Source organism: Homo sapiens, chromosome 14, assembly GCF_000001405.40.
Source record: "Homo sapiens chromosome 14, GRCh38.p14 Primary Assembly".
Classification (NCBI taxonomy): Eukaryota; Metazoa; Chordata; class Mammalia; order Primates; family Hominidae; genus Homo; species Homo sapiens.
Window position 1 is genome coordinate 102,590,686 of NC_000014.9, and position 26,018 is coordinate 102,616,703.

At 47.7% G+C, this 26,018-nt stretch overlaps 1 protein-coding gene across 2 annotated transcripts in view, besides 6 other annotated features; it reads left to right on the forward strand.

Moving 5' to 3' along the window:
• Positions 236-285: an enhancer, noted in NCBI's record as "active region_9075". NCBI's record gives its function as "activates an Ori minimal core promoter by ATAC-STARR-seq in GM12878 lymphoblastoid cells {active_cell/tissue: GM12878}" and the evidence as "EXISTENCE:reporter gene assay evidence [ECO:0000049][PMID:35858748]".
• Positions 567-1,382: an enhancer, noted in NCBI's record as "H3K27ac-H3K4me1 hESC enhancer chr14:103057589-103058404 (GRCh37/hg19 assembly coordinates)". NCBI's record gives its function as "activates a minimal SCP1, AML or CMV promoter by ChIP-STARR-seq in primed H9 embryonic stem cells {active_cell/tissue: H9 hESC(primed)}" and the evidence as "EXISTENCE:reporter gene assay evidence [ECO:0000049][PMID:30033119]".
• Positions 567-2,270: a biological region, named in NCBI's record as "H3K27ac-H3K4me1 hESC enhancer GRCh37_chr14:103057589-103058404".
• Positions 961-2,270: a silencer, noted in NCBI's record as "silent region_6126". NCBI's record gives its function as "represses an Ori minimal core promoter by ATAC-STARR-seq in GM12878 lymphoblastoid cells {active_cell/tissue: GM12878}" and the evidence as "EXISTENCE:reporter gene assay evidence [ECO:0000049][PMID:35858748]".
• The window catches only part of RCOR1 (REST corepressor 1), a 137,913-nt gene continuing 113,858 nt past the window's right edge, over positions 1,964-26,018 (forward strand). For both annotated transcript variants that reach the window (NM_015156.4, XM_047431148.1), the window contains exons 1-2: positions 1,964-2,502; positions 2,581-2,640. In NM_015156.4, coding sequence (NP_055971.2) covers positions 2,202-2,502; positions 2,581-2,640 — 361 coding nt within the window. In that variant the 5' untranslated portion in view covers positions 1,964-2,201. The remainder of the gene's footprint in view (positions 2,503-2,580; positions 2,641-26,018) is intronic.
• Positions 2,331-2,940: a silencer, noted in NCBI's record as "silent region_6127". NCBI's record gives its function as "represses an Ori minimal core promoter by ATAC-STARR-seq in GM12878 lymphoblastoid cells {active_cell/tissue: GM12878}" and the evidence as "EXISTENCE:reporter gene assay evidence [ECO:0000049][PMID:35858748]".
• Positions 20,764-20,843: an enhancer, noted in NCBI's record as "active region_9076". NCBI's record gives its function as "activates an Ori minimal core promoter by ATAC-STARR-seq in GM12878 lymphoblastoid cells {active_cell/tissue: GM12878}" and the evidence as "EXISTENCE:reporter gene assay evidence [ECO:0000049][PMID:35858748]".

A 26,018-nucleotide genomic window follows, 5' to 3' on the forward strand; every position in this document is an offset into this window, starting at 1 on the left:
TAAGTGTTAATATTCGTTGGAAAAAAAAAAAAAAGAATGCTTGTCAAGTCCACTGCTGCGCCCCTACTGGTAGCCCAGCCTGGCCTCAGCCTTGGGGGCTGGTGGGTGGAGAGGGCGGCCTTGTGTGCTCTGCTATCCCTATTGCCTTAATGACCCAGTATCACCTTTGTGCCCTTGTAGGTTGATCCTTCTAGTCTCGTGGCAGAACTTTGTAGACACCAAGCGAGCGGGGCAGCGTGTTCTGGACCTCATTCCTCACACAGGGCTCACCTCCGGATGAGTCAGAGGCCTTAGCCGGTGGCCCAGCCCCGGGAATGCCACCCCGGTTCTGTACCCTGCCCAGGCCAGCTGACAGGGTGTATTGGGGCACACACCTGCAGCATCCAGGGCACTCCAAGGAGAGGGACGTACTTTTGAGGAGAGTCTAAAAGTCTAAGTCCCCCACCTGAACTTGGTGGGGGAAGGGCTTCTATACCAGGAGGGCTCCCAGCCCTGTTTCTTAAAGGCCATTTAGGCAGAAGTGAACGTGGTCTCTTCAATAAAGTTAATAATGGTTCATGCTGCAGAAAATGTTCAAGACAAAACCCTGCTTATTTACTCAGGCTTTAAAACCATAAAACTCCCAAATTCTCCCTGTAGCTATTTATATCCAGAGCTAGTCCCCAAATTAAGCTCAGGTTTGAAGTAACTTAAAAGAAAAATAGCCTTCCCTGCTTTAAAAAGATTTTCCGTATAGACCTCCACTGGTCTAATTACGAAGGGCGCGTAGTTTCAGGGTTGGCTGGGGGTAGGGCACCGGGACCTCCAAGGCAGTTACACTCCTCAGCCTCCTAACAGCTGTACGGCTGCCCGGTGGTCCCTCTCCAAGGCAGCGGCTCTCAGGCTAGCCTCAGCCTACCCCACCCGCCCGCACCCCGTGTTCTCCCTCGTGGGGGTGCCGGGGGGAGTAGGGAGGCGGGGCGGGCGGCAGGTCCGGAAAAGTGGCTGCCCTCGCCCCGAAAGAAGTTGACCCTCCTCCCGTGCCGAGAGCTTGGGATGAAAATAGCTTCTTCCTCTTTACCCTTCCTGGACCCCCGCCCCAGGACGACTGGGCCCCTTCATTCATCTTTCAGCGGCCACCCAGGCGGCTTGGGCGTCCCCACGCCGGGACTCTGTGCCCCGGGGACCCACGGGGACCCTCCCTTGGGCCTCTGAAGCCGCGGCGCACCCCGCACCCAAGCCACCCCGGGGGCCCCGGCCTCCCCCACCCAATTAGCGGGCAGCACCGCAGACCCGAGTCCCCACGCAGCTCGCGCCAGGGGAGGCGGCCGCCTGGGAAGCCCGTCCCCCGCGCCGCGGCCCCCGCCCCCGCCAGCCCCGCGTCCCCTGGGAAAGGCGGGGGCGCAGCGAGTTTCCCCCAATTAGTTTCCTCTTTGTATGGAGTCTTAGCGCGCCCGTACTCCTCCGCGCAGCGGAAAGTAGTCCCGGCCGGGCGCTCCGCGGCTTCCCAGCGCCAGACACATTTTACTTTGAGAAGTCGACGGGACTCTCAGCGGGGTCCTTCAGATGGGGGGCCAGAGGCTGCGGGAGGCGTGCGCGGGCAGCAAGGGCAGGGGCCGCGGCCAAGGGTAGGGGGCGGGGAGGGCCGCGAACTCCTCGCCGCTGCCTGGAGAGATGGATCATGGGGCGTAGGGAGATGGCAAACCTCAAACCACGTACGGCGGGCGATACGCGTCAACCGAACCTCGCCAACGGAAGCCCGGAGCCGCCCCTCCCCGCTCCCCCGCCCCGCCGCCCCGGACGGACGGGCGCGCGGAGCCAACCCCGCTGCCGCTGGCTGTCCAAATCCCACCAGAGCCAATGGGAGCGCGAGGGGGGGCGGAGCCATCTCGCGTCAGTTGGGCTGCGCGCCCCCCTCCCCCGGCGCCCCTGCAGGCCCCGCCCCTGCCTCCTCCCCTCTCCGCTCGCTGCTCCCGGAGTAGTTGGTGCCAGTGAAGTGAGGGCGGCGATGAGAGCGAAAGTTGCGCTCGGCTCGTCGCTGGGGGCTTGAAGCGGCTCCGCGCTCTGCCCGTTTGGGCCTCCCCCGACTCGGACTCGCGCCCGTGGGCTCCCGCCGCGCCCGCCCGGCCCCGCGCCGGCCCCGCGCCCCCTCCCCCGTCTCGGCGCCCCCTCCTCAGGAGCCGCGGGTCCCCGCCACTTTCGCACGGCCCCGGCCCCCGCCGATGCCGGCCATGGTGGAGAAGGGCCCCGAGGTCTCAGGGAAGCGGAGAGGGAGGAACAACGCGGCCGCCTCCGCCTCCGCCGCCGCCGCCTCCGCCGCCGCCTCGGCCGCCTGCGCCTCGCCAGCCGCCACTGCCGCCTCGGGCGCCGCCGCCTCCTCAGCCTCGGCCGCCGCCGCCTCAGCCGCCGCCGCCCCCAATAATGGCCAGAATAAAAGTTTGGCGGCGGCGGCGCCCAATGGCAACAGCAGCAGCAACTCCTGGGAGGAAGGCAGCTCGGGCTCGTCCAGCGACGAGGAGCACGGTAGGTGGCAGCCGCCCCCGCGGCCCCGGGCCCCGCGCCCCGCGCCGCGCTGACCGCCGTATTCTGCTTCCCCCGCAGGTGGCGGTGGCATGAGGGTCGGACCCCAGTACCAGGCGGTGGTGCCCGACTTCGACCCCGGTGAGTAGCGGCCCCGGCCGGCCGGCGGCGGGGATGAGCGGGAGCCCCGGGTCCCCGGCGAGCCCGAGGGGGCGGGAGCCCGCCGACAACTTTCTTTTTGTGCGTTCGCCCTGCCGTCCGTGGGGAGAACAGCAGGGCGAGGACGAGGAGGCGCACACGCACACGAGTGTTCTGCAAACGTGCCTCTGCACCCGGGGGAGGCCAGGTCGCCCCCAGCAGGGCCGGCGCCGCTGCCCCCTTGCGCCTCCGAGGACTGCGGGTGGCGTCGGAGGTGGCCACACCTGGCCTGGGGGCGCTGGGGGTCCCTGCGTCCAGGTGAGCTGCGCCTCGGCCAGGGGTAAGGGTGGCAGTGCCGGAGAGTTAGTGTCCTGCGAGCGCCCCGGACTTAGGAGGTCCCCAGAGACCCCTTTCTCGGAACCCTTCCCAAAGGCTGCTCCCCACGCCTTTGCTCCTCCTCTCAGCCTCTGGGCTCTTGCTGGCTCCTGACTGCCCTCCCATCCAGAAGGCGAGTAGAAGAACGACCCCCCAAAACCAGTCAATAAAAGAAGTGTGTTTTCCAGAGGGCGCCTGCCTGGGGAAGAGAGTCTCGCGTGTGGCAGTTGGATTTTAGGACCTATTTGTAAATGTGTGTATTTCCTTTTTTTTGGAGGAAGAGATTGTGAAATTGAGAAGCATCAGAAGCTTTAGCCTAACAAATGCTTTTCACCTACAAGAAAGCCCTACACCCTAGAATGGAACACTTAGTTCCCTGGCTGCTATTCTGTGTAGAAGCAAATTTAAAGTGGTACAAGAAAAAAAATCCGATCAGACAAAGGAATTCGTCAGATTTTAATGCATGAGATTCTAGCCAGTGTCTGTATGAGACTGTCTTTAAAGGTTGTTGGTATGGAAAATGTTTGAAAGAACGTAGGATTTATTTCAGAAATAAAATTCAAAAGAGCATCTTGTAAAGCTGGAGTTAACAATCCTCCATGGTTGGAGGGCTTTAGAGCTGGGGTTCTGTATGTGGGTTATACCACTAGTTTATTTGAAAAGATAAACGCATACATGTTTTTTCCTTGGAAACAAGACTGCAGAAAATTGCAATGATCTAGTCCTTGAAAAAGGCGATTGCTCTCAAGCTGTTATTAAGGTACTAAACTGCACTTTGAAGTGAAAATACATAGAGGTCCTAGGTGAGCTCTTGGACACTCTGGAAATAAATGACTTCCTAAATTGGCCTTCTAAATTTTGATTTGTTGACGTAAATCTGTTAAATTTATTTGTCTAATACTCGCGTTTGTGTTTCTTTTAAGTCCATGTTAGTGTTTTTGATAGTTTCCTCTTCTCCCCAATTCTTTTTTTTTTTTTTGGTAGTCACTTCTCGTTTATGAGTGACAGGATAGAACTAGGTGGCCAGGCTATATCTCTTGTATGCTTGGCTCCTCCGTTCCTTGGTTGGCCACCAGGGGAAGCATACTGTTTTTTGGTTACAGTTGACCCTGTCTTCATTTTGTAGGTCAAGTCTATCTTTGCTTTAAAACACAGAACATAAAGCTTGTTACCAAATTTTCCTAATGTATTATTTTTAAAAATCGACTTCCACAAATCTTTGAGTAAGTTGGTAGGCTTTTTGATACATTTTTGTTAACATAAATTTTGAAAACTTTATGTAGATGTGTTGGATGTGACTAAGGAAAAGGGCATATTTGTCAACAACAGGAATTAGATTTCTGACATTCATCGAAATATTGACATCAGCTCTGCATTGTTAGTAATGAGTTTGACTTCTTTGGAGTTATACTTTTCTTTGAAACAGCAAATATAATATTTTGAACTGTCTTTGGGCTTTTTGTTGGAATAGATATGAGCATAAACTTGCTAGTGACCAGCTATTCTAAAATGGAAAACATTTATCAGATTGCAGTAGCTCACACCTGTAGTCCCAACACTTGGGGAGGCCAAGGCTGGAGGATCTCTGGAGCTCAGGAGTTGGAGACCAGCCTGGGCAATGTAGTCAGACTCTGTCTCAACAAAAAATAAAAAAATTAGCTGGGCATGGTGGCATGTGCCTGTAGTTTCAGCTACGGGGGGGTCTGAGGCTGGAGGATCTCTGGGAAGTCAAGGCTGCAGTGAGCAGTGATCTGGCCATTGCACTCCAGCCTGGGTGACAGAGTGAGACCCTGTCTCAGAAATAAAAAGGAAAACATCTAACTGTTTTGCTGCATAGTCTTGCTGCCAATTGGTTGAGTATTGATATTAAAATTTCCAAATTTCTTTTTTTTTTTTTTGAGACGGAGTCTTGCTCTGTCCCTCAGGCTGGAGTGCGCAGTGGTGTGATCTCAGCTCACTGCAAGCTCCGCCTCCCAGGTTCACGCCATTCTCCTGCCTCAGCCTCCAGAGTAGCAGGGACTACAGGCGCCCACCAACACTCCTGGCTAATTTTTTGTATTTTTAGTGGAGACGGGGTTTCACCGTGTCAGCCAGGATGGTCTTGATCTCCTGACCTCGTGATCCGCCCGTCTCGGCCTCTCATAGTGCTGGGATTACAGGCATGTGCCACCGCGCCCGGCCCCAAATTTCTTTATTTTGTGTTTGTTTTAATCTGGAAAGGAATCTAACTGGTGTAAAGTAATTTCAAACCTTGTTTTGCCAACCTAAGCAGGGGGACACAGTTTTCTAGATATGGCAGAAAATTGAGACTTTACTATTTCCTAGTGGTTTTTTATGTGTCTTTTCATTTAACTTAAAAGCTTAAGGGGAAGGAAGGCTTCCATTTTGGAATAGAAATGATACAACATTTTTTTTTTTTTTAATACGGAGTTTCACTCTTGTTGCCCACGCTGGAGTGCAATGGCGTGATCTGGGCTCACCGCAACCTCTGCCTCCTGGGTTCAAGCAATTTTCCTGCCTCATCCTCCTAAGTAGCTGGGATTACAGGCATGCGCCACCATGCCTGGCTAATTTTTTGTATTTATAGTAGAGACAGGGTTTCTCCATGTTGATCAGGCTGGTCTGGAACTCCTGAACGCAGGTGATCCACCCACCTCAGCCTTCCAAATTACTGGGATTACAGGGGTGAGCCACCGTGCCCAGCCAACTGATGTTTGTTTTATAGCAAAATTCTTTCTTAGCTGTTTAAGACTTAAGACAGGTTCTTTCCATGACTGCAATTTAAGAGTAGTGAATTGAGTAATAAATTAAGAATTGAGAGTTTGATCCTTACTAGTTTTTATTTCCTCCTCCTACTTGTTTTTTTCTTTTTTCTTTTATTTTTTGAGACCAAGTCTCACTCTGTTGCCCAGGCTGGAGTGCAGTGGCACGATCTTGGCTCACTGCAACCTCCACCTCCGAGGTTCAAGTGATTCTCCTGCCTCAGCCTCCAGAGTAGCTGGGATTACAGGTGCCCACCACCACGCCCAACTAATTTTTGTGTTTTTATTAGAGATGCGGTTTCACCATGTTGGCCAGGCTGGTCTCGAACTCTTTGCTTCAGGTGATCTCCCCGCCTTGTCCTTCCAAAGTGCTGGGATTACAGGCGTGAACCACTGTGACTGCCCCTCCCCCCGCCTTTTTTTTTTTTTTTGAGACGGAGTCTTGATCTGTTGCCCAGGCTGGAGTGCAATGGCACAATCTTGACTCACTGCAACCTCCATCTCCCAGGTTCAAGTGATTCTCCTGCCTCAGCCTCCCAAGTAGTTGGAACTACAGGTGCGTGCCACCATGCCTGGCTAATTTTTGTGTTTTTAGTAGAGACGGGGTTTCACCATATTGGCCAGGCTGGTCTTGAACTCCTGACCTCAGGTGATCTGCCCCCCTCGGCCTCCCAAAGTGCTGGGATTACAGGCGTGAGCCACCATGCCCTGTCCCTACCTCAGTTTTGAGTGTGTCTTTGTTCTTCTCTTTTACTAGAATTTGAACAGAGAGGTGGACGTGAAACTTAACAGGCAGCTTTTTTTCTTTTCTTTTTTTATTATAGTAAAATAAGTAACTATGGTAGAGATGCATGAATGGAGGAATTTGACTTTGATTTTTTTTTTTTGAGACAGAGTCTCGCTCTTTCACCCAGGCTGGAGTGCAGTGGCATGATCTCAGCTCACTGCAACCTCCATCTCCTGGGTTCAAGCGATCCTCCTGCTGCAGCCTCCTGAGTAGCTGGGATTACAGACGCACACCACCACACCCGGCTAGTTTTTGTAGTTTTAGTAGAGATGAGGTTTCACCTTGTTGGCCAGGCTGGTCTCGAACTCCTGACCTCAGGTGATCCACCCACCTTGGCTTCCCAAAGTGCTGGGATTTCAGGCGTGAGCCACTGCGCCCGACCTTTTTTTTTTTTTTTTTTTTTTTTTTGAAATGGAGTCTTTCTATGTTGCCCAGGCTGGAGTGCAGTGGCACAATCAGCTCACACAGCCTCTGCCTCCCGGGTTCAAGCAGTTCTCCTGCCTCAGCCTCCTCAGTAGCCGGGATTACAGGCGTGTGCCACTATGTCTGGCTAATTTTGGTATTTTTGCAATTTTTTTTTTTTTTGAGATGGAGTTTTTTTCTCTTGTTGCTCAGGCTGGGGTGCAATGGCATGATCTCGATCTCGGCTCACCTCAACCTCCACCTCTCAGGTTCAAGCAATTCTCCTGCCTCAGCCTCCCGAGTAGCCGGGATTACAGGCATGGGCCACCACACCCAGCTAATTTTGTATTTTTAGTAGGGATAGGGTTTCTCCATGTTGGTCAGGCTGGTCGTGAACTCCCAACCTCAGGTGATTTGCCTGCCTTGGCCTCCCAGAGTGCTGGGATTATAGGCGTGAGCCACTGCGCAGCCCTAATTTTGGTATTTTTGGTAGAGATGGGTTTCACCATGTTGGCCAGGCTGGTCTCGAACTCCTGACCTCAGGTGATCCACTCACCTCGGCCTCCCAAAGTGTTGGGATTACAGGTGTGAGCCACTGTGCCCGGCCTGATTTTTTTGTCAGATTTTACTTATTTGCGGTATGCCAGCTTGACCCTATTTAGGTTTGAAAGCAAATGGTTGGAGCTAAGACTATCTGATATTTCCTATGCAGTTCAAAGGAAGATTTAATTCTGTCATGCCTTACAAAGAGTGAATGAGGTGGATAGAGCACGTTAGTCTTAAAATCCTGATTCAGTTCTTTTTTTTTTTTTTTTTTGAGACGGTGTCTCGCTCTGTTGTCCAGGCTGGAGTGCAGTGGTGTAATCCGGGCTCACTGCAAGCTCCGCATCCTGGGTTCATGCCGTTCTCCTGCCTCAGCCTCCCGAGTAGCTGGGACTACAGGCGCCTGCCACCACGCCCGGCTAATTTTTTTGTATTTTAAGTAGAGACGGGGTTCCACCATGTTAGCCAGGATGGTCTCAATCTCCTGACCTCGTGATCCGCCCGCCTCGGCCTCCCAGAGTGCTGGGATTACAGGCGTGAGCCGCCACGCCTGGCCCTGATTCAGTTCTTATAAAATAATTAATACCTAGATTAGATCGGTGTAGTGTGGCATTGCTTGGTAGTTAGAATACCATTTGTGTTTACACTGAAATAAAAAGTTTTACCAACTTTTAAAGAGTTAAAAAAAAAAAGAGTTAAAAACCTAAGTGCAGCCCTACACTTTTAACTTAGGCTTTGTTCTTACATGTGTTGTCCAGACTGCCTTTCCATGCTGTCTGCCGCAGATTATGCTGAGTTGTCATTGGTTTCTTTTAATATTCAGTAGTTACAGAATAATAGGGTAAGAGGGGGGATGCTTATCTATCCTACCTCTGGTTGGTTCTTTCCTACATAAGCAAAGCATCACTTATTTTGAAATGAATAATGTTTTTCTTTCCTTTTTTTTCCTTTTTTTTTTGAGATAGGGTCACACTCTGTCACCAGTATAGTGGTGTGATCATGGCGGCAGTGAACTTGAACCTCCTGGGCGCACACTATCCTCCCATCCATACTTTACCTCGAAAGTAGCTGGGACTACAGATGTCCACGACCATGCCTGACTAGTTTTTTTGTATTTTTTGTAGAGACAAGAGTTTTGCCACGTAGTCCAGGCTGGTCTCGAACTCCTTGGCTCAAGCCATCTGCCTGCCTTGGCCTCCCAAAGTGCTGGGCTTACAGGTGTGAGCCACCGTGTTCAGCCATTATTATTACTATTTTTTAATTTTTTTTATTCTCTTTATACACGTCCTTGGTGCTTCAGAGGCGTACATTGTTAATGATGAATATTTTTGAGATAGTGGCCCTTTAAAAAAGCAACCTTTATTTTGAATGTTTAATCCAATGTATTTAATCAGATCTGAAAATTTGTGGTTGTCATTGGCTTAACTGTCACTTCAGAGTTGACTTCTGTCAGAAAACTGTGTTATGTTTTCATGTGGAATAGGTAATTTTACTGAACAGGGTGTCTTGATATGCCTTTCATTTGTTTTCACTGGTGATTCTATGTTCTGCTTTTTTTATGCTTTAGATCATTGTAAAAAAAATATGGTGAATGCTTTGTGGTTTTGTTTTGTTTTGTTTTTTTTTTTTGAAACAAGGTCTTGCTCTGTCACACAGGCTAGAGTGCAGTGGCCCTGATGTTGGCTCACTTCAACCTCTGCCTCCCAGACTCAAGTGATCCTCCCCCCTCAGCCTCATCAGTTGCTGGGAATACATGTGCACATCACCACGCTTGAGCCCAGGCTGGTCTCTAACTCTTGTGCTCAAGCAGTCTTCCTGCCTTGGCCTCCCAAAGTGCTGGGATCACAGGCATGTGCCTGGCAATGCTTTGTGATTTATTTATTTAATTATTATTATTATTTTTTTGAGACGGAGTCTCGCTCTGTCACCCAGGCTGGGGTGCTGGAGTGCAGTGGCGCGATCTCAGCTCACTACAAGCTCCGCCTCCCGGGTTCACGCCCTTCTCCTGCCTCAGCCTCTCTGAGTAGCTGGGATTACAGGCGCCCACCACCACGCCCGGCTAATTTTTTATATTTTTAGTAGAGATGGGGTTTCACCGTGGTCTTGATCTCCTGACCTCGTGATCCGCCCACCTCGGCCTCCCAAAGTGCTGGGATTACAAGCGTGAGCCACCGCGCCCAGCCAGTGATTGATTGATTGATTTTAGTTTTATTTTTTATTGTATTTTGAGACAGAGTTTTGCTCTTGTCACCCAGGCTGGAGAGCAATGGTGTGACCTTGGCTCACTGCAACCTCTGTCTCCCAGGTTCAAGTGCTTCTCCTGCCTCAGCCTCCCGAGTAGCTAGGACTACAGGTGTGTGCCACCATGCCCAGCTAATTTTTTTTTTTTTTTTTTTGAAGACGGAGTCTCACTCTGTTCCCCAGGCTGGAGTGCAGTGGCGTGATCTCAGCTCACTGCAAGTTCCGCCTCCTGGGTTCACGCCATTCTCCTGCCTCAGCCTCCCGAGTAGCTGGGACTACAGGTGCCCGCCAACACGCCTGGCTAATTTTTTGTATTTTTAGTAGAGATGGGGTTTCACCATGTTAGCCAGGATGGTCTCGATCTCCTGACCTCGTGATCTGCCCGTCTTGGCCTCCCAAAGTGCTGGGATTACAGGCGTGAGCCACCGCGCCCGGCTGCTAATTTTTGTATTCTTAGTAGAGATGGTATTTCGCTGGCTGGGCATGGTGGCTCACACCTGTAATCCCAGCACTTTGGGAGGCCGAGGCAGGCGGATCACTTGAGGTCGGGAGTTCAAGACCAACCTGGCCAACATGATGAAACCCCTCTCTACTAAAAACACAAAAATTAGCTGGGCGTGGTGGTGCATGCCTGTAATCCCAGCTACTCAGAAGGCTGAGGCAGGAGAATTGCTTGAACCCAGGCTGCAAAGGTTGCAGTGAGCGTAGATGGCACCACTGCACTCCAGCCTAGGTGACAAAGTGAGACTCTGTCTCAAAAAAAAAAGACGGGGTTTCACTATGGTGGCCAGGCTGGTTTCGAACTCTTGACCTCAGGTGATTGACCCGCCTTGGCCTCCCAAAGTGCTGGGATTACAGGCTTGAGCCACCGCACCCGACCAAACACTGATTTAATACTAGGCAATATTTGCTTCAGGTACAGCTAAAGCCTCATTCCCGCCTTCTTTCTTCATTAATTCACAGTTGGTTTATATTATTTCTGTGATAGTTTGCATCTTCTGAGAAGCAGATGACAAGACAGAATTAGATGTGCAAGAGGTTCATTAGGGTATGCTTGTGAAGGATAAAGAGAGGAAGGAGGTGTAGGTGGCAAGAGCCTTTACACTGGAAGCATGTGTGACACCTGTGAAAGAAGAGAGGGAAGGAATGATGATTAATGATTGATAGAGGAACCTCAAACTGCAGTGCAGCTTGCAGTTCAGAGAAAATCTCAGCCAGAGTAGATTGTTAGAAGAGTCTGTTGGGCAGGAATGGTCCTTCTTTGTGAACATCTGCTGTGTTCAGTCATTGGCTGGGAGCAGCCTAGAGTAGCCTAGCCTTGGTATGGGTGCTGTAGTAGATTTCTGGTAGCTGGGGCTGTCAGTTAACTACACTCCTTGCAACATTTTCTCTCTTGAAGGGAAATCTGAGTGGCACACTCAAGGCTGTCAGAATTCCCATACGTGTTTTTGTACTTAAATACATGTGTGTAATTCCAGCACTTTGGGAGGGTGAGGCGGGAGGATCACCTGAGATCAGGAGTTCGAGACCAGCCTGGCCAACATGGCGAAACCCCGTCTCTACTAAAAATATAAAAATTAGCTGGGTGTGGTCGCGGGTACCTGTAATCCCAGCTACTTGGGAGGCTGAGGCGGGAGAATTGCTTGAGCCCGGGAGGCGGAGATTGCAGTGAGCCGAGGTTGTGCCACTGCACTCCAGACTGGACGACAGAGCTAGACTCCGTCTCAAAAAAAAAAAAAAAGTGATAATATGTTTTCTTGTTATTGTTAGTGTTTTTGTAAATGGAATAATCTATGCTATTCATGTACTTTTATGCTTTCCAAACAAGTACATTTCCACTAGCAAGGTAAACAACTTTGTTTTCACCTTGTCTTCGTCATGGTGTTAGTTAGGTTATTAATTTTTTTTAAATGCTATCCTTTAATGGCTTATATTAGCATTTTTTTCTTTTCTTTTCTTTTCTTTTTTTTTTTTTTTTTTTGGAGATGGAGTTTCGCTCTTGTTTTGTTCCCCAGGCTAGAAATGCAGTGACGCAGTCTCCTCTCACTGTAACCTCCGCCTCCCCGGTTCAAGTGATTGTCCTGCCTCAGCCTCCCGTGTAGCTAGGATTACAGGCATGTGCTACCACGCCTGGCTAATTTTAAAAAATATTTTTAGTAGAGAAGGGGTTTCACCATGCTGGCCAGGCCGGTTTTGAACTCCTGACCTCAAGTGATCTCCCGCATCGGCCTCCCAAAGTCCTAGGATTACAGACGTGATCCACTGTGCCTGGCCTCTTCTTTCTTTTTTTGTAGACTTGATATCGTTCTGCCTCTTAGGCTGGAGTGCAGTGGCATGATCACAGCACACTACAGCCTCAGCCTCCAGGGCTCAAGTGATCCTCCTGTCTCAGTTTCCTGAGAAGCTGGGACTACAGGCATGAGCCAGTATGCCTGACTGATTTTTGAACTTTTTGTAGAGACGGGGTTTTGCCAAGTTGCCCAGACTGGTCTCCAACTCCTGGGCTCAACCAGTCCTTCTGCTGTGTCCTCCCAAAGTGTTGAGATTACAGGCATGAGTCACTGTGCCTGTAATTAAGTTTTCCAATTAATGATGAGGTTAAGTGTCTTATGTTTTTAATTTTTAATTTTTAATTTTTTTAAGACCTTTTTTTTCCCCTTTTTTGAGATGAGTTCTTACTCTTGTCGCCCAGGCTGGAGTGCAGTGGCGTGATCATAGCGTACTGTAGCCTTGAACTTCTAGGGCTCAAGTGATCTTCATACCTCAGTTTCTGGAGTAGTTTGGACTACAGTTGTTCACCACCACACCCAGCAAAGAATGTGACAAAAAGTACTAAGTGTGTTTTAGCTAAGTATCGATAAGAAAAGAGTGTCTTTTTATTTATTTTTTATTTGTTTATATGTACTTTTTGAGACAGGGTCTGGCTCTGTCATCCAGGCTGGAGTGCAGTTGTGTAATTTTGGCTCCCTGCATCCTCAGCCTCTCAGGCTCAAGTAATCTTCCCACCTTGGCCTCCGGAGTAGCTGGGTTTATAGGCTCTTGCCACTATGCCCAGCTAATATTTGTATTTTTTGTAGAGATGGGGTTTCAGGTTTTGTTGGTCTTAACCCTGGCCCAGGGGTGTCTGTAAATTTTTTTTTCTTTTTTTTGCCACTCAGTTTCCTCCTGTGAATGTATCTTTCTTTTGCTATTTTTCTTTTTTTTCCCCCTTAGGGTCTTGCTCTGTTGCCCAGGCTGGAGTGCGGTGGCTTAATCTCAGCTCACTGCAACCTTCATCTCCTGGGCTCACATGATCCTCCCACCTCAGCTTCCGAGGTAGCTGGGACTACAGGAGTGTGCCACCACGCCTGGCTAATTTTTGTGTTTTTTTGTAGAGACAGGGTTTCACCATGTTTCCTAGGCTGTTTTGCTGTTTTTCTATAGGGTGTTGGTTTTTATAGGTTTTGGTTTTTTGTATGGATTTGTGTGAGTTCTTTTTATTTATATATTTGGATATTCTTTGTTAGAATTGCACATATGTTTTTTGTTTTTTCTTTAATATTATGTGTGTTGCGGGGAGGAGGATTGAGTTTATTTGACTAGGAAGGGATAAAAATACATTCCTGACTGGAGACTGTACTCAGAGATTGGTCTTGGTGTATACCCCTGATTTCTAAGATGAATGTTACTGAGAATTGACAATTTTTTTTGTTGATTGTTGTGTTTCCACTAAGTTATTCATCTCATTTTGGCCTGCTATTAGCTAGTTGACCCAAATCACAGTGCTGGATGACTTGAAAAGCTCTGATTTAATTTTTGCCTAGTATATAGTTATAGTAGCATATAGGTTAAAGGTTAAAGTTACAGCTTTGATCCTATAATGGTCAGTTAGTTTCCCACGAAAGGTTAAAATGCTATAGACTAAAACTAACAGCTGTCTTAGGGATTTGCCACTCCTTATAAGGCAATGGGTAGTGTGTGGATAGGGAGGTACAACTTGTCATCACTAACAAAACCCTCGAAAGAATGATCTATCCAGGTTGCTTACTCTGTGCCAGGCTAGTTTTAACACACATCAAATCATTTGACCCTCACAACAGTCATATGATGTAAAGTTACTATCTCCATTTTCCAGATGAGGAAACAGAGGCATTGAGAGGCTTAGTCTTATGGTTGAACCTAATAACTTGCCGTGGTAATCCAGTCCGAGAGGCCCTCAGCTGTAAGAGGCACCTTTATTTTATGTTTCAGTAAGAAAGGAAAAGGATCAACAAGATAGACTGTTAATTTTAAGTATTATAAGAATTCTGATTTATAAGTATAATCAGAATTCAATTTAGTGTATTTTAGAGAGGGTCAGCCAGAATCCTCTTTAAGAGAAAACACTTAGGCTGGGTGCAGTTGCTCACTCCTGTAATCCCAGCACTTTGGGAGGCTGAGGCAGGTGGATCTCCCAAGGTCAGGAATTCAAGATCAGCCTGGCCAAAATGGTGAAACCCTGTCTCTACTAAAAATACAAAAAATTAGCCAGGCTATAATCCCAGCATTTTGGGAGGCTGAGGCGCGAGAATTGCCTGAACCTGGGAGGTGGAGCTACAGTGAGCCGAGATCGTGCCACTGCACTCCAGCCTGGGTGACAGAGCAATATTCCATCTCAAAAAAAAAAAAAAAAAAAAAAGGAAAAGAAAAAACACTTAGGAGCAAGACTTTATTGGATCCATTGATTAGTTGTTTCCATGTGGCCCCAGGTGTTGGGGAATTTTATGTTTCGGGTTGCCAGAGCCAACTTGTAGTCCAGTTACATTCCTCTTCTTCCTGGCAGTGAGAACACCGGTGAAATGGGAGGTGGTTAGCTTGGTTGCCTGGGGACAAATTGGACTGAGTTGCTTTATTCCTGCATGTATGTTGAAATAGTCATCTTCACAACTTAGAATATAGTTGGAGTTTTTTTTAGAAGAGCCATTTATTTTGATGGTGTGACTGAAGGCTATACATACAGTCATGTATTGCAAAACAAATGTCATTTTGGTCAAGGACAGTGGTCCCATAAGATTATAATGGAACTAAAAAATTTCTGTCGCCTAGTAACTTCACCTTGTCTATAGTGCAACAGCGTGTAGCATTACTTAGGTGTTTGTGTGGTGTTGGTGTAAACAAACCTACTGCACTGCCAGTCTTACAAAATCTAGCACATGGAGTTATGTATAGTACATAGTACTTGGTAATGACAATAACTGTATTACTGGTTTGTGGATTTACTATGCTATACTTTGTATGGTTATTTTAGAGTGTATTCCTACTTATAAAAATTATCAGTTTGCTGTAAAACAGCCTCAGGCAGGTCCTTCAGGAGGTATTCCAGAAGGAAGGCATTGTTACTCTAGAATATGACACCTCCATGGGTCTTATTGCCTCTGAAGACCTTCCAGTGGGACAAGGAAGGTATGGAGTTGGAAGATGGTGATATTGATGATCCTGACTGTAGGCTAGGCCAATGTGTGTGTCTTTGTGGTTTTTTTTGTTTTTGTTTTTGAAATGGAGTCTCGCTCTGTTGCACAGGCTGGAGTCCAGTGGCATGATCTCGGCTCACTGCAACCTCTGCTTCCCTGCTTCCAGTGATTCTCCTGCCTCAGCCTCGTGAATAGCTGGGATTACAGGTGCGCGCCACCATGCCTGGCTAATTTTTGTATTTTTAGTAGAAATAGGGTTTCATCATATTGGGCAGGCTGGCCTTGAACTCCCGACCTCAAGTGATCTGCCTGCTTCGGCCTCCGAAAGTGCTGGGATTACAGGCATGAGCCACCGTGCCCGGCCTAATTTTTGTATTTTTAGTAGAGACGGGGTTTTGCCATGTTGGCCAGGCTGGTCTTGAACTCCTGACCTCAGGTGATTTGCCTGTCTTGGCCTCCCACAGTGCTGGGATTACAGGTGTGAGCCACTGCACCTGACTGTATTTACACCCATACTCTCCCTGAAGGTTGTAGTTCCTGCCCTGCTTTACTTTTACTGGCATAGAAGCTGCTGGGCTTGGTGTTCTGCTTTCAAACTTAGCGTGGATATAGGGAGTTCAGCGGGGAGGAAGAGAAGAGTAGGTGCTTAACTAGTTTTGATCTTACTCAGTACCAGAGAGTGTTCTGGGAGCTAGTGGTGTCATGTATGTCTGATTTCTTTGAGGGTGGTAGCGTAGTTTTTTGAACCACCAAATCAGGTTTTAAGTTTTTTTTTTTTTTTTGGAGGGGAGATAGGGTCTCACCCTGTCCCCCAGGCTGGAGTGCAGTGGCGGGAACATGGCCCACTGCATGCAGCCTTGACTTCTTGGGCACCAGTGATCCTCCTGCCTCAGCCTCCCAGGTAGCTGGGATTACAGGTGTGAGGCACTGCACCTGGCTGTTAAGTATTATCTAGTATAAACTCGTCAGAGCTAAATAGGGGCTGAATTTTCTAAGAATATGTGCTTGGTTTGGGTCTTTTCTTGAATAGGCTTTTGTTTTTGTTTTTTTGATTTTTTTGGGTTTTGTGTTAGTTTTTTTTTTTTTTTTTGAGACGAAGTCTCACTCTGTCGCCCAGGCTGGAGTGCAGTGGTGTGATCTTAGCTCACTGCAGCCTCTGCCTCCCGGATTCAAGTGGTTCTCCTGCCTCAGCCTCCCAAGTAGCTGGGATTATAGGCATGCTCCACCACGTCTGGCTGATTTTGTATTTTTAGTAGAGACGGGGTTTTTCCATGTTGGTCAGGCTGGTCTCGAACTTCTAACCTTAGGTGATCCGTCTGCCTTGGCCTCCCAAAGTGCTGGGATTATAGGCGTGAGCCACCGCGCCCGGCTGAGTAGGCATTTTTTAATGGACATTTGATAAGGACCAAGTGCAACTGTATATCAAATGGAAATCTAGGGAAAAATTGTCTTTTAAATTGCAGTTAAAAGCTGATTATCCCTATTGTCTCTTGCTTTCCTTATAATGAATTTGTATAAATTGGAGATGCACATCTTGCATAGATGTGTTTTCTTTTTTTTATATAAAGTGGTGCAAGTCACATCACAAAATTGACTATTTTTTGGCCAGGTGTGGTGACTCATGCGTGTAATCCCAGTGCTTTGGGAAGCTGAGGCAAGTGGGTCACCTGAGGTCAGGAGTTTGAGACCAGCCAGGCCAATATGGTGAAAACCTGTCTCTACTAAAAATAGAAAAAAGCTAGCCAGGCGTGGTTGCTCATGCCTGTAATCCCAGCACTTTGAGAGGCTGAGGTGGGCAGATCACGAGGTCAGGAGTTTGAGACCAGCCTGGCCAACATGGTAAAACCCCATATCTACTAAAAGTATAAAAATTAGCCGGGTGTGGTGGCACCTGCCTTTAATCCCAGCTACTCAGGAGGCTGAGGCAGGAGAATCGCTTGAACCCGGGAGGTGGAGGCTGCAGTGAGCTGAGATCGTGCCACTGCACACTAGCCTGGGCAACAGAGCGAGACTCTGTCTCAAGAAAAACCACAAAGTACAAAAAATTAGCCAGGTGTGGCGGTGCACGCCTCTAATCCCAGCTACTTGGGAGGCTGAGGCAGGAGAATTGGTTGAACCGGGGAGGCAGAGGTTGCCATCAGCCGAGATCACGCTACTGCACTCAAGCCCGGGCGAAACAGAGAGACTCCATCTCAAAAAAAAAAACAACAAAATTAACCGTTTTACAATGAACAATTCAGTGGCATTCAGTGCACTCGCATTGTTGTGGAGCCACTGCCCTTGTCTAGTTCCGAAACATTTTCATCACCCTAAAAAGAAAATCTCACATGTGTTAGAATGAAGAATGAGTTACTTCTTATTCTCCATTCTCAGTACCAGGCAACCACTAACCTGCTTTTTGTTTCTGGATTACTTATTCTGGAACTTTCACGTAAATGGGTATGTGACCTTCATGTCTGGCTTCTATCACTTAGTGTAATGTTTTCAAGGTTCATTCATGTTGAAGCTTGAGTCAGTATTGGTACTTTCTGTGCTTCATTGCTTTTGTTTTGTGTTGTTGTTTTTTTTGTTTTGCCTTGTTTTTGTTTTTTGAGATGGAGTCTTGCTCTGTCGTCCAGGCTGAAGGGCAGTGGCGTGATCTCAACTCATTGCAACCTCTGCCTCCCTCGTTCAAGCGATTCTCCTGCCTCAGCCTCCCAAGTAGCTGGGATTATAGGTGCGCACCACCATGCCTGGCTGATTTTTGTATTTTTAGTAGAAATGGGGTTTCACCATTTTGGCCAGGCTGGTCTTGAGCTCCCGACCTCAGGTGATACACCTGTCTCGGCCTCCCAAAGTGCTGGGGTTACAGGTGCCTGGCCTAATTTTAAAATTTTTTTTTTGTGGAGAGACGGGGTTTGTTTATGTTGGCCAGGCTGGTCTCTAACTCCTGACCTCAAGCACTCCTCCTGCCTCAGCCTCCCAAAATGCTGAGCTTATAGGCATGAGCCACTACACCTGGCTCATTCATTTGTTGATGGACATTTAGCTTGTTGTTACCTTTTGATTATTGTGAACCGTGCTGTTATGTACATTCATGTACAGGTATTTATCTGTTTTCATCCTTTTAGGGGTATATATCTATTAGTGGAATTGCTGGGTTATGGAGTAATTCTGTGCTTCACTTTTTTTTTTTTTTTTTTTTTTTTAAATTTTTATTTTGAGACAGGCTCTTGCTCTGTTGCCCAGGCTGGGGTGACAGTGGTATGATCTCAGCTCACTGCAACCTCTGCCTCCCGGGTTCAAGCAATTCTCCTGCCTCAGCCTCCTGAGTAGCTGGGGTTACATGTGCATGCCACTACACCTGGCTAATTTTTGTATTTTTAGTAGAGATGGAGAAACATGTTGGCCAGGCTCGTCTTGAACTCCCGACCTCAGGTGATCCGCCTGCCTCGGCCTCTCAAAGTGCTGGGATTACAGATGTGAGCCACTGTGCCTGGTCTGTGCTTAACTTTTTGAGGAACCATTAAATTGTTTTTCACAGTAGCTTAACCATTTTATACTCCATGATTAACGTATGAGGGTTTCAATATTCTACTTTTTATTTTCTGTTTTTTGAGATGGAGTCTCACTCTGTTGTCCAGGCTGGAGTGCATTGGTGCGATCTCGGCTCACTGCAGTTTCCGCCTTCCAGGTTCAAGTGATTCTCCTGCCTCAGCTTCCTGAGAAGATGGGATTGTAAGCATGTACCACCAAGTGTGGCTAATTTTTTTTTTGTATTTTTTAGTAGAGACAGGGTTTCACCGTGTTGGCCAGGCTGATCAGGCTGGTCCTGACCTCAGGTGATCTGCCTGTCTCGGCCTCCCAAAGTGCTGGGATTACAGGCGTGAAAATGCTACTGATGACAGTGCAGAGAGTCCTGAGATGCTTAGAGTAGTGGAGTTACTCGATCCTTCCCTGTGGTGGAGGGTTGGGAGTTGAAGAAACCAGGAAGTCCTATATGAAATGGTCCTTTAAGGCCGGGTGCAGTGGCTCACCCCTGTAATCCCAGCACTTTGGGAGGCCGAGGCAGGCAGATCACGAGGTCAAGAGATTGAGCCCACCCTGGACAACATGACAACATGGTGAAACCCTGTCTCTACTAAACATACAAAAATTAGCTGGGAGTAGTTCCAGCTACTCGGGAGGCTGAGGCAGGAGAATCGCTTGAACCCTGGAGGTGGAGGTTGCAGTGAGCCGAGATTGCGCCATTGCGCTCCAGCCTGGGCAACAAGAGCGAAACTCCATCTCAAAAAAAAAAAAAAGAGAAATCGTCCTTTAAGTCAAGCCTTAAAACGTAGGAATTACCTAGTTAATTTGAATATTAATATTATATGATATATAAGCTGTACATGTTATAAAAATTATTTTGAAAAGTTTAATCTTTAAAATTTTAGTTTAGATTTTCCTTGTAGTTATCTAGAGCTGTGCTGTCCAATAGTGTAGCCACTAGCTACATATAACTATTGAAATTTAAATTAATTAAAATTAAATAAAATTAAAAATTCAGTCCTTCTGTTACACTAGGCACATTTTAGATATTCAGCCATCATATATAGCTAGTAGGTGCCATATTGGACAGCTCAGAATAGAGTATTTTTATCCTCCCAGCAAGTTCAGTTGGGTGGCAATGATCTAGACATTTTGATGAAATGAAAGCTTCATTATTATTGCTATTATTATTATTATTTTTGTGTGTGTGTGACAGAGTGTCGCTCTGTTCCCCAGGCTGGAGTGCAGTGGCGCCATCTCAGCTTACTGCAAGCTCGCCCACCCGCGTTCACACCATTCTCCTGCCTTAGCCTCCTGAGTAGCTGGGACTGTAGGCGCCCACCACCACGCCCGGCTAATTTTTTAGTAGAGACGAGGTTTCACCGTATTAGCCAGGATGGTCTCAATCTCCTGACCTCATGATCCACCCGCCTCAGCCTCCCAAAGTGCAGGGATTACAGGCGTGAGCCACCGTGCCCAGCCCAAAAGCTTCGTTATTATTAATTTTTATAATTCAGACGTTTTGCCTCTTTTGTCAAGTGCATGAAATTTGAGATGGGTACAGCTGAGAAATGTATGATGGCTGTGTGCTGAATTCCTCTAGGGGTGTATTTGTTTAAATATTGCCAATAAGGTGTTCAAAATAAGGTTATTTGAAAGAGCAAGTTGAAATGGAAAGCTTAGGAGAGCTTAGTTTTTTGTTTGTTTGTTTTTTTGAGATGGAGTTTCGCTCTTGTTGCCCAGACTGGAGTGGAATGGTGTGATCTTGGCTCACTGCAGCCTCCGCCCCCACACCATTCAGGCGATTCTCCTGTCTCAGCCTCCTGAGTAGCTGTGATTACAGGTGCTCACCACCACGCCTGGCTAATTTTTTGTATTGTTAGTAGAGATAGGGTTTCACCATGTTGGCCAGGCTGGTCTCTCCTGACCTCTGGTGATCCTCCCACTTTGGCCTCCCAAAGTGTAGGGATTACAGGCATGAGCCACCATGCCCGGCCTCAGCCTATAGTTCTTTTAATGCCCTTGTCTACTAATTCTATCATCTGTGTCATTTCTGGGTCAGTTTCAGTTGCTTGATTCTTTTTTTTCTTCCTCTTTTTGGGTTGTCTTTTCCACCTACTTTGCTTATCTGTTGATTTTTGGATGCCAGACATCATGAATTTTACTTTGTTGGAGGCTGGATATTTTTGTATTTCTATAAATATTCTTGAGTTTTGTTCTGAGATGTGGTTAAAATACTTAAAAATAGTTTGATGAAGTCTTGCTTTTAAGCTCTGTTAGGTGAGATCAAAACCATTTTAGTGTAGGGCTAAGTATTTCCCACTATTGAGTCAAAATCCTTTTGGGGATTCTGTGTGATAGCCCATGGACTATGTGGTTTTCCACTCTGGCTGTGAGGAACTGGCACTCTTCCTGTTCCCATGTGAGCCTTGTGGATTGTTCCATTTGATTCTTTTGGGTATTTTATTTATATTTTTAGAGAAGGTGTCTTGCTCTGTCACTCAGGCTGGAGTGCAGTTTTGTGATCATAGCTCCTTGCAGCCTCAAACTCCTGGGCTCAAGCCATGCACCCCATATAGCTGGGGCTATACCATGCCTGGTTATTTTTATTGTTTTAGAGATAGGGTCTCACTGTGTTGCCCAGGCTGGCCTTGAAGACTCCAGGGTTCAAGCGATCATCCCTCCTCAGCCTCCCCAGTAGCTGGGATTACAGGATTTTGCCATCACATCTGGCTAAGGGGGTGTGGAACCAGGGACAAAGACCAAATACATATTTCATAATATACTACACAAGGTAAATCTGGTTCATGTCACTCTACCTTGACTGGAAGCATAAGTATAGATTTTGCCATGTTGCCCAGGCTGGTCTTGAGCTCCTAGCCTCAAGCGGTCCCCTCTTCCCAAACCTTGGCCTCCCAAAGGTGCTAGGATTGCAGGCATGAGCCACTGCACTTCCTGAGTAGCTGGGATTACAGGTGCGCGCCACCACGCCCGCTAATTTGTTTTGGATTTTTAGTAGAGACGGGGTTTTGGGCCAGGCTGGTCTTGAACTCCTGCTCTTAAGCGATCTGCCCGCCTCAGCCTCCCAAAGTGCTGGGATTACAGGTGTGAGCCACCACGCCCGGTCTGATTTTTGTATTTTTTGTAGGGATGGGGGTTTCCCCATGTTACCCAGGCTGCTCTTGAACTCCTGGCTTCAAGCAATCCACCTGCTTCGGCCTCCCAAAGTGGTGGGATTTCAGGAGTAAGCCACTGCACCCAGCCTTGTTCATTTCAATATTCCTGATGAAGTACTCCATCTGATCTCATTTGCTCTTAGAAATCTGCTTGCTGGTTACCCTGTGCAGTGGCTCACACTTGTAATCCCAGCACTTTGGGAGACTGAGGTAGGAGGATTGCTTGATGCCAGGAGCTAGAGATCAGCTTGGGCAACATAGCAAGACCTTGTCTCTACGTGCACCTGTAGTCCTGGCTACTTGGGAGGTTGAGATGGGAGGATTGCTTGAACCCATGGGTTTGAGGCTGCTATGAGGTATGATCACACCACTGCATTTTAGCCTGAGAGACAGGAGACAGTATCTCTTAGCAAAAAAAAAAAAAAAGAAAAAACAAATCTGACTACCGTATTGATGATTCTAGTCCAGAATTTTCCAAAGGAGTATAGGTGGTTTTTTTGGTTGTTGTTGTTGTTTGTTTTGTTTTTTGAGATGGTGCGAGTCTCGCTTTTTTTGTTTTGTTTTGTTTTTTTGAGATGGAGTCTTGCTCTGTCGCCCACGCTGGAATGCAGTGGCACAATCTCGGCTCATTGCAACCTTCGCCTCCCGGGTTCAAGCAGTTCTTGTGCCTCAGCCTCCCGAGTAGCTGGGACTACAGGCGTGCGCCACCACGCCTGGCTAAGTTTTGTATTTTTGGTAGAGTTGGGGTTTCACCGTGTTGGCCTGGCTGGTATCAAACTCATGACCTCAGGTGGTCCGCCATTCTCAGCCTCCCAAAGTTTTGGAATTACAGGTGTGAGCCATCGCACCTGGCCTTTTTTTTTCTTTTTTAAACATATTTATTTATCATTTTTTTTTTTTTTTGAGACGGAGTCTCGTTCTGTCGCCCAGGCGGGAGTGCTGTGGCGCGATCTCTGCTCACTGCAAGCTCCGCCTTCCGGGTTCACGCCATTCTCCTGCCTCAGCCTCCCGAGTAGCTGGGACTACAGGCGCCCGCCACTGCGCCCGGCTAATTTTTTGTATTTTTAGTAGAGACGGGGTTTCACCATGGTCTCGATCTCCTGACCTCGTGATCCGCCCGCCTCGGCCTCCCAAAGTGCTGGGATTACAGGCATGAGCCACCGCGCCCCGCCATCCTTTTTTTTTTTTTTAAAGAGGTGGAGTATAACTATGTTGCCCAGGCTGATCTTGAACTCCTGGCCTCAAGCAGTCCTCTACCTTGGCCTCACAAAGTGCTGGGATTACAGGAGTGAACCACCGCGCCTGGCTGAGATAGGTTGTTTTTTGAATTAACTATTCTTTTTTTTTTTTTTTTTTTTTTTTGAGACAGAGTTTCGCTGTTGTTGCCCAGGCTGGAGTGCAGTGGTGCAATGATCTAGGCTCACTGCAACCTCTGCCTCCCAGGTTTAAGGGATTCGCCTGCCTCAGCTTCCCAAGCAGCTGGGATTACAGGCATGTGCCACTACACCCGGCTGATTTTGTATTTTTGGTAGAGACGGGGTTTCTCCATGTTGGTCAGGCTGGTCTTGAGTTCCCAACCTCAGGTGATCTACCCTCCTTGGCCTCCCAACGTGCTGGGATTATAGGCGTGAGCCACTGCACCCAGCCATGTTTTTAAGATTTTTAAACATCTGGCTCTTTTTTTTTTTTTTTTTTGAGACGGAGTCTCGCTTTGTCACCTAGGCTGGAGTCCAGTGGCGCCATCTCGGCTCACTGCAAGCTCCGCTTCCTGGATTCACTCCATTCTCCTGCCTCAGCCCCCCGAGTAGCTGGGACTACAGGCACCCGCCACCATGCCCGGCTAATTTTTTGCATTTTTAGTAGAGACGGGGTTTCACCACGTTAGCCAGCATGGTCTCGATCTCTTGACCTCGTGATCCGCCCGCCTCGGCCTCCCAAAGTGCTGGGATTACAAGCATGAGCCACTGCACCCAGCCCTTCTGGCTCTTTTTAAATGTCAGATATTGATAACTCCCAGACTGAATTAAGATTTTATATGTCAGATGATTAACTATCATTTTGAGTTGTTGCTTAGTTCTCTGCTTGCTTGGCAACAGGTCAGTTTCCATGGTATTGCCATTTTTGTACCGCATTCTTAGTGGAGCTGAGAGGTTGGGGGTGAGGCTACAGGGCCGAACTCTATAAACTAGAATAGCTAAACTTTTATCCAGTTTGGTGTATAAAATTTTTTGATATACAGCTCAGGAAAAGCATATAAAAAACAAAAATAAAAATAATTTCTGAATAATTTTTTTTTTTTTTTGAGACGGAGTCTCGCTCTGTCGCCCAGGCTGGAGTGCAGTGGCGTGATCTCGGCTCACTGCAAGCTCCACCTCCCGGGTTCATACCATTCTCCTGCCTCAGCCTCCCGAGTAGCTGGGAGTACAGGCACGTGCCACCATGCCCAGCTAATTTTTTGTATTTTTAGTAGAGACGGGGTTTCACCATGTTGGCCAGGATGGTCTCGATCTCTTGACCTCGTGATGTGCCCGCCTTGGCCTCCCAAAGTGCTGGGATTACAGGCGTGAGCCATAGTGCCCGGCCCCCCCGCCCCCACCTTTTTTTGAGACAGAGTCTTATTCTCACCCAGCCTGGAGTGCAGTGTTAACGATCTTGGCTCACTGCAACCTCTTCCTCCTGGGCTCAAGTGATTCTTCTGCTTCAGCCTCCCAAGTAGCTGGAACTACAGGTGTATGTCGTCATGCCTGGCTAAATTTTTTTTTTTAATATTTTTTAGTAGAGACGGGGTTTCACCATGTTGTCCCAGCTGGTCTCGAACCCCTGGGCTCAAGCAATCCACCCATCGTGGCCTCCTGCAGTGCTGGGGTTATAGGCATGAGCCACCTTGGCCTGCATAATTCTTTTTTTTTTTTTTTTTTGAGATGGAGTTTCGCTCTTGTCGCTCAGGCTGGAGTGCAATGGTGCGATCTCGGCTCACCGCAACCTCCACCTCCTGGATTCAAGCAATTCTCCTGCCTCAGCCTCCCAAGTAGCTGGGATTACAGGTGTGCACCACCATGCCTAGCTAATTTTGTATTTTTAGTAGAGACAGGGTTTCTCCATGTTGGTCAGGCTGGTCTCCAACTCCCGACCTCAGATTATCTGCCCAACCTTGGCCTCCCAAAGTGCTGGTATTACAGGTGTGAGCCACCACGCCTGGCCATTAATTCTTTTTTAAGAAAGAGTTTCATTGCTATTAAACAAGTTTGAAAATCACAGTTTCTGCTTGAGTAGAAAATACAAACTTGGGTTTCTACCACTACACTTTCACAACATGCTTTTGACTCCAGATTTGAGGGGGGATTTCTCCCCAACAGGAGGTAGGCCATCAGTTCTGCAGTGGGCAGCAGCTGGGCATCCTCTAATTGAATTCAGTTCTGACACTGTCTACACTACCCGCTTAGAGATGGATGGTGACACATCACACAGGTTGAGGACTCAGTCCTATCTTTGATAGTGAACGTAAACCTTCATTTATTTTGTCTGTGGTTCTGACCAGCCAGCTGCAAATTTCAAGAGTTCCTGCAGATACCTCCTTGACTTCAATTACTTTGCTAGAGTAACTTACAGAACTCAGGGAAATGTGTTTATCCATTTATTACAAAAGATACATGTGTATATGTGTGTGTGTGTGTGTGTGTGTGTGTGTGTGTGTGTGTGTGTATGTGTGTGTGTGTATATATATATTTAAATTTTATTTGAGTTAGGGTCTTTCCCCAGTTGCCAAGGCTGGAGTGCAGTGGTGCGATCACAGCTCACTGCAGCTTCAACTTCTTGGACTCAGGCTATCCTCCCATCTCAGCCTCCTGAGTAGGTGAAACTATATACACACAGCACCATGCCCAGCTAATTAAATTTTTTTTTGGTAGAGATGGGGTCTTGCTGTATTGCCCAGGCTGGTCTTGAACTCCTGGGCTCAAGCAGTCCTCCGGCCTTGGATTCCCAAAGTGCTGCAATTACAGGTGTGAGTCATCATGTTTGGCCTACAAAGGATATTTGGAAGGATGCAAATAAACAGTCAGGTGAAGAGATACATATAGGGCCAGGATTGAAATGGTCCCTAGCACTGGCACTTCTGTCTTCTTGGAGTTGGGATGGGCCACCCTCCCCTCACATG